The sequence below is a fragment of the Homo sapiens genome, chromosome 9 (genome assembly GCF_000001405.40).
Source record: "Homo sapiens chromosome 9, GRCh38.p14 Primary Assembly".
Classification (NCBI taxonomy): Eukaryota; Metazoa; Chordata; class Mammalia; order Primates; family Hominidae; genus Homo; species Homo sapiens.
The window spans coordinates 30,907,103-30,914,657 of record NC_000009.12 but is presented as its reverse complement, the minus strand read 5'-3'; the positions used below and the strand labels follow the sequence as shown (position 1 = coordinate 30,914,657).

The 7,555-nt window shown below is 35.5% G+C and overlaps 1 annotated feature.

Annotated features, from left to right (window-relative positions):
• Nucleotides 666-1,449: an enhancer, noted in NCBI's record as "OCT4-NANOG hESC enhancer chr9:30913207-30913990 (GRCh37/hg19 assembly coordinates)". NCBI's record gives its function as "activates a minimal SCP1, AML or CMV promoter by ChIP-STARR-seq in naive and primed H9 embryonic stem cells {active_cell/tissue: H9 hESC(naive and primed)}" and the evidence as "EXISTENCE:reporter gene assay evidence [ECO:0000049][PMID:30033119]".

Genomic DNA, 7,555 nt, shown 5'->3' with positions numbered 1-7,555 from the left:
TAAATACTAGTGTCTGTATTATAAAAACAGAAAGATGGTCCCTTATATATAACCAGTGTATACATAATCTACACATTTAAAATTTATACAAAATGTTATCTCATCTCTTATATGTATGTATTAAATCTTTTTCAATTTACACTGTAATGCCTATAAGTTTTTGGTTGACTTTTTGGTCTGCTTTTCCAGTCACCACATGATCAAGTAGACTTCCATGTTATATTTGACTTTCCTGTCTCTGGAGTCTCTTTATTTTTTCCACGGCAGCTTTTCTTTTTCCTTTCTTTTCTTTGTTTGTCTTTTAAATGTCATTGAGGTTTGGGAAAATTTAGTCAAAGGGCAATTTATAAGGTCCCTTCTTCACACAAGCAAATTATAATTCTGGAGTATATGTTTGCTCAAAATTTTGATTTTTTTTGCATATAGATTCTTGTGACTGTTTAGAGCCTATCAGGGCAACAATTGAGGCATGCATAACTGACAGTGTCAGAGATAGAGAATTTGTGGAGGGTGAGACAGAGAAGCTGGTGATGCAGAGAAAATTGACAAGGAAAGCATTATATGTCGTGGACCAAGACTAGCCCATTAGGCTCAGCAGTGAAATGTGGGAAGATAAAAGAAAACAATGAACCGTAGTGCTTAAATTTAGCATTTCATAATCTTAAAGATGAAGCTGGGAGTATAATTTGGTGACATGCCTGGCTAGCATGGGGAAAAAATACACACAAATATATATATACATGTACACACATACACATTCATACACATCATCCACAAAAATGATTTTTTTTACACTGATGAGTGATCAATAGGGAATTGAGTGAAAATTTAGAAAAGTGAATAAGGAAACCCTTCAGAAAGGGAATTGTCATGGATATGATTCAAAAAAACCAAGTTTTGCTATATGTAATCCCAACTGTTTTTAAAGAAGTTAAAAAGAAATCATCTCCTACTAAATTGGAGTGGGCTTGAGTGAGAGAGTTTGCAGTGTGGACAAGGGAGAGCTGAATTGCTGTGCATGATAAAGGAAGATCAAATGTGTGGTGAGCGCCGCGACATCCTAGGAGAGAAGAGCCAGCTATCAGCAGGGTGGGGCACTTCATGGGAGGAGAGAAACATCTGACAGCCTTCAGGGCAGAGCAGCTCAAAAGGGATTAGGGGAGAAAAAGAATTTTAAAAAAAGGAGGTTCTTTAAATTGCTTGCTAAGTGGCCTGCTGTGTAATCTCAATAATAAAAGGTGCAAGTCTGAAGAATTCTTCTTTTGTTAAAGCAGACTATTAGAGGAAAATTGGTTAGGGAGCTGCCAACATTTAATAGAGAGTCACTATTTCTCAACTAAGAATCCATCTCCCTCTTCCTGGGCACATTTGGCAATATCTTCAGATACCTTTTTTTTTTCTTTTTTTTTTTTTTGAGGAGGGGAAATGCTACTGTCATATAATAAATAGAGGCCAAGGATGCTGCTAAACATCCTGCAATGCACAGGACACCACTTCCCATTCCCAATTACTAATTTCCAGGCCCCAAATGTCACAAGTCTCAAGACTGAGATACCCTGACCTAAGTGTATGCAAGACAAAAAGATAATATGGAGAAACTGGAGTAGAGGGCAGAGAGGTGATTCTGGATATAAATCCACAGGACTTTTCAAAAATTCCTGAGAAAAATCCAGGCTTTCGAAGATCATGAACGTGGTAGAGTCCAAGCCAAGATCTCAAAGAGTAATGGCGCAATCAGCTATATCTACATTAGGAGTAAAATAAAAATACATTTACATTAATACAGATAGACAGTGGGATTATAGGATAGATTCACAAAATAGAAAGGCATGGGCAGGATGGAGAGATTGACAGGCATGGGATATGGGTGGAGTAAAGGGCTCTTATAGCCTACGTGGTCAGAGGAAATGCTGAGAGTACATTTTCCTCTTTGTGTCCCTTTCTTCATCTTCAAAAACCCATTCTGAATATTCCAGAGCTCTGGGTTATGAGACTAGAATTCTGGGCTGGAGCACACTTTCCCAGATTCCAGTTCCCAGTGATGAACAGCACTTCACTTCAGATATGGGAGAAGCATCTCTTTTGTCTAAGGAGTATCAGTGTCTGTGATGGTTAATACTGAGTGTCAACTTGATTGGATTGAAGGATGCAAAGTATTGGTCCTGCGTGTGTCTGTGAGGGTATTGCCAAACGAAATTAACATTTGAATCAGTGGGCTGGGAAAGGCAGACCCACCCTTAATCTGGGTGGGCACCATCTAATCAGCTACCAGAATGGCCAGTATATAAAGTAGGCAGAAAAACACCAAAAGGCTAGACTGGCCTAGCTTCCCAGCCTACATCTTTCTCGTGTGCAGTATGCTTCCTGCCCTGAAACATCGGACTCCAAGTTCTTCAGTTTTGAGACTCGGACTCACTTTCCTTGCTCTTCAGCTTGTGGATGGTCTATTATGGGACCTTGTGATAGTGTGAGTTAATAATAAACTCCCATGTATATAAGTATATGTATCTCCTATTAGTTCTGTCCCTCTAGAGAACCCTAATACAGTGCTCCATGCTGAGCTCACATGGAACTCATCTTCCTCCTGTGTTTGGCAGAGCACCTTCCTTTATTGACTCACTCTCAAAAGAGAAATTAGGCATCGCTTATGTTTGTGAAACATACGCATTCAATTACTTCCTCAATGACATTGGTCCAGGGAGACACCTAAGAACAGAACTCTTGGGATAGAGTAGAACAGAATCTCAAAGAATAGGTTGGGCAGGGAAGATACTAGAGTAAGGACTATTAATTAGATGTGAAACTCATGGACCACCTATTTTGGTTTAGCAGAGGCCTTCAGAATACATTTCAAACAGAGATTCAGGTGACAGATTATAAGATTTAGGGGCTCCTTCAGGAGAACAATGTTTCCGAACATATCCGCTCAACATTTATCATCTCATCTCAGATGTCCCCTGACATGAATCATGTCTTTGTGTTCTGTCTGACCTGTAGAGCAATGCTGAGAATTGCTGTGATCAGATGCTAGAGCCCAAGAAGAAGCAGAATGTTATCATATGGAGTACACATGTACATATTGGTCTGATATTCCGCACACTTTTTAGCAGAGAATTTTTGACTAAAAGCTCATTGAGGACCTTATCCACAAAACCCTTCTTGGAACTTTTTAAAGATGAAAAAAAAAAATAGAAAGTATCTTATCTACTTTAAAAATGAATAGCAGGGAAAGATGAAAAGATCCACTAAGTCACAGTAGAAAGGAATATTATTCATGAAAACTGAAGGTGTTGAGAAAAGGGAGATGGAGATTTGGTTCCCTGCCTTCATTCTTGTCCTGTGTTTCAGTATTAATACAAAGGCAATGAAATGGAGATAAAGAATGTATTGATAATTATGCTATCCTCTCCCCAAAGGCCCTTTCCAAAGGTGAACCATAGTTTTATTATTCTTGAATGTCTATTATACTAAATTGCCCTTGGGAAAAAAAAAAAAAAAACTCAGAGAAGAAGGTCACGGGAAAGACATCAAAACCTAAGACACTTCTCTCATCCCTACCCTGCCCTATTCATCCTTGGGAATGAAAGAAGGAAGATTCTGGGTGATGAGGCAATGTGAGATACAAAGGAACAAGTCTTGGTTGGTTTTGAAGGTCAGACTTCTGGGCCTTGTTTAGATAAGTAGTTTAATTTTCTCAAACCTCAGATTTCTCCTTAGTCCTACTGGCTTCTACAATAAAATACCATAAACTGAGTGGTTTGTAAACAATGGAAAATTATTGCTGACAGTTCTGGAGGCTAGAAAGTCCAAATCAAGGCCCCAGGAGAAATCTGATGAGAACCAGCCTCCTGGTTTATAGACCAAAATATTTTTGTCATGTACTGACATAGTAGGAGGGACAAGGGGTCTCTTTCAGAGTGAACTAATTGCATTTGTCAGGGTTCTACCCTCATAACATAATTACTTCTCAAAAGCCCCACCCCAAGCTAATTCACAGTGTATTTGTGGAGATTACATGAAATAAGAAGGTTACATGAAATAAGAGAAAGTCCTTGGAAAATGATAAAACACTATACACACAATAAAATTTACCATTATTTCCATTGGTGATTTGATTTTGTGTACTTAATCTTGGAGTCCTTAAAGTATTATGTCCCAAAAACCTTCTTTGAAGACCCTTTCACTTCTATTGTTATTTATCCTGGTTTCCTGGTTTCGTCTTGGAAAACTTACCTGAGAAGAGCTATGATGGCACTTTCTATGGCCTGATTGTTTCCCTTTAATTCATGTGTTGAAATCTAATTCCCAATAGAATAGTTTTGAGGGATGGAGGCCTTTACAAGGTGATTAGGCTATAAGGGATGAATGAGACCAGTGTTCTCATAAAAGAGATTCAACAGTGTTTGTTTTCCCCTTCTACCATGTGATAACACATAGAGGGCATCATCCATGAGGAACAGGCTCTCACCAGACACTAAATCTGCTGGCATCTTGATTTCGGTCTATGTGTCTGTTTTATACCAGTACAATGCTAAGACAAATTTGTCTTTTTGGCTCACAAATATATTCCCTGCAGTTATCAAGGAGGTAGCTGAAATAGGCAATGAAATTTTTGTAGTTTTGATGAAATAAATATATAAATATAAGTTTTCTACTTATTCGTCTCCTTGATACAGGAATATGTACTTTCAGATGACTTCATATATGCATTCAACAGTCAAAGCTAAATGTGTCACACTACCTGATTTCAAAATATACTACAAAGCTATAGTAAAGAAAATAGCATGGTACTGGTATAAAACAGACACATAGACCAATAGAACAGAATATAAAACACAAAAATAAATCCACATATTGACAGTTAACCCATTTTGACAAACAGATCAAGAACATACATTGGGGAAATGACAGTCGTTCCAATAAATGGTGCTGGGAAAACTGGATATCCACATGCAGAAGAATGGAACTAGATCCTTATCTCTCACCATATAAAAATACCACTCAAAATGAATTAAAAACTTAAATATCAGGCTTGAAACTGTAAAACGACCAGGGGAAAACATTGGGAAAATGCTTCAAGACATGGGTCCAGGGAAAAGTGTTTTGAGTAAGACCTCAAAAGCACCAGCAACCAAAGCAAAAATTAACAAATGATATTACACATCAAACTAAAAAACTTGTGCACAACAAAGGAAACAATCAACAAAGTGAAGAGTAAACCTACAAAATGGGAGAAAATATTTGCAAACTATCCACCTGAAAAGAAATTAATAATCATAATATATAAGGAACTCAAATAACTCAAAAGCAAATAAACAAATATCCTCCTCTTAAAAAATAGGAAAAGGACCTGAATAGACATTTCTCAAAAAGAAAAAGACATACAAATTGCCAAGAGATATATGAAAATGTGTTTAACATTATTTATCATCAGATAAATGCAAATCAAAGAACTTTAAGATATCATCTGCTGCCAGTAAAAATAAAAGAGACAAAAAATGACCCATGCTGCCAAGATGCATTGAAAGTGGAATGCTCATACACTGCTGGTGGTAATGTGAATTAGTACAGCCTATGTATTATTACATTACTAATGTAAATCAGTAAAACCATATAGAGGCCTCTCAAAAAATTGAAAATAGAACCAATGACCATATGATCCAGCAATCTCCATTGGTGGATGTATATCCAAAATAAGAGAAAATGATATATGTAATAGATATCTGTGCTACCATGTTTACTGCAGCACTATTCAAAATAGCCAAAATATGGAATCAACCTAAGTACCCATCAACAGATGAATGGATTAAAAAAACTGTTATAAATATACATAATGGAATATCATTTAGCCATAAAAAGAATAAAATTCTGTAATTTTCAGCGAAATGGATGGAACTGGAAGTCATCATGTTACATTAAATAAGCCAGGCACAGAAAGACAAATATTAATATAACATGTCTTCACTCATATGTGTGAGCTAAAACGTTGATCTCATGGAAGTCGAAATTAAAATGGTGGTTACCAAAGGCTGGTTTCTTATGCAGGGAGTATTTAGAAAATTCAATTTATTCACTTTAAGGAATTGTCTTATTTGTCAGATCACACATTTCTGTTTTATGAAATATTGTTGGCAATATCTTACCATTATCATTTTAATACACTACTGTCATGTTACAAAATGTTGTGAAATTTAACTGAATATCTCTAAGATGATCATTTAATATCTTGCATTTCAATTCATTTATCTGTAGACTCAGATGGGATTCCCATGTTCTAGCTTTTGGGTCCTTTGCATGTAAAAACGGGCAGGTCTGCATTTCTTTGTCAGAACACAGACTGATTGAAATGCTTCCAGATGAACATATCCAGTTTGGAGATCTCACTTTTAAGACTGTTCTTTAAAAATAGTAATGAATGCAACAAATACAGTAATACATTATGTCCCAGTATCTTTCATAAGCAGAGGTATTAGAGTAAACCAAAACACTTTGTCCTTGTGCAAAAATAATTTATTTTTAAAATTTGTTGTCTAATTTTCTGGTATCATTGTGAAATTTGAATAAAGCCTTACAGAATAAGATACATCTGATGATCAAATTAGTCTCATTTATGGAAATTGGGTGTTCAATTTGATAATGGTAATTCTAAGCCTACCTCTTGTGGTTCTCTATTTCTTCACAAAGGAGATTCCTTCTTATTTTCCTGTTATTATAATATCTTTATTACAGTATAAATAGCATACCCACATACACCTCTACGTTCAACATACTCTTGTTCAGTGCCAACTATTCATAGGCATAAGTGTTCTCTCTCTTTTTATTCATGTTTTTACAAAATTAAAATACAAATATATGTAAGATAAATGCAGATAGGCAATACAAAAAAATAAAACCACAAGAACTGGATAGTGTATGTTTTTTTTTGAAGAAGAGTGTGCACAAATTATTGCCTCAACTATGCACCAAACTATTACCTTTAGAGAGTGAGGCTAACCTATGTATTTATATTTCCAGGAAGAGATCAATGAATGAAGATATAGACTGATGGATGGATGAATGAATGGCTGGATTAATAATAAGCTTACTGATTTATTTAATATTTGCTACCAAATATGTGTTTATATTCTGAATTAAAGTCCCTTACTTTGAAGTCTCTCATTTTAAGAGATTTCTACAATTGGCATACACTATTCTATCATAGGAAGAAAAATTTGTAAGAATTTTATTTGCTTTTCAAATACTTGCTATATCTCCACAAAGTTTACATATATAACCATATTTTGTCGAGAGAACATTTATTTTGACATCATTAATGCCTTAATTTTAATTTACTTCATCTTATTATTTGTGCATTTCCTGAGGCTATAAAACACATACAGAAATATTCATAAAAACATATAAATTACGTGAATGTATTAATAATGCAAGCATAATTCCAGATCTGGGAAATATTGCCAATGTGCTTTGGAGGATTTAGAATTCCTCTAGGTAATTTGTGTTGCTAAAAAATATACAGCTTAAAAATTCAGCCCACTAATATATCGAAGTTTTCATC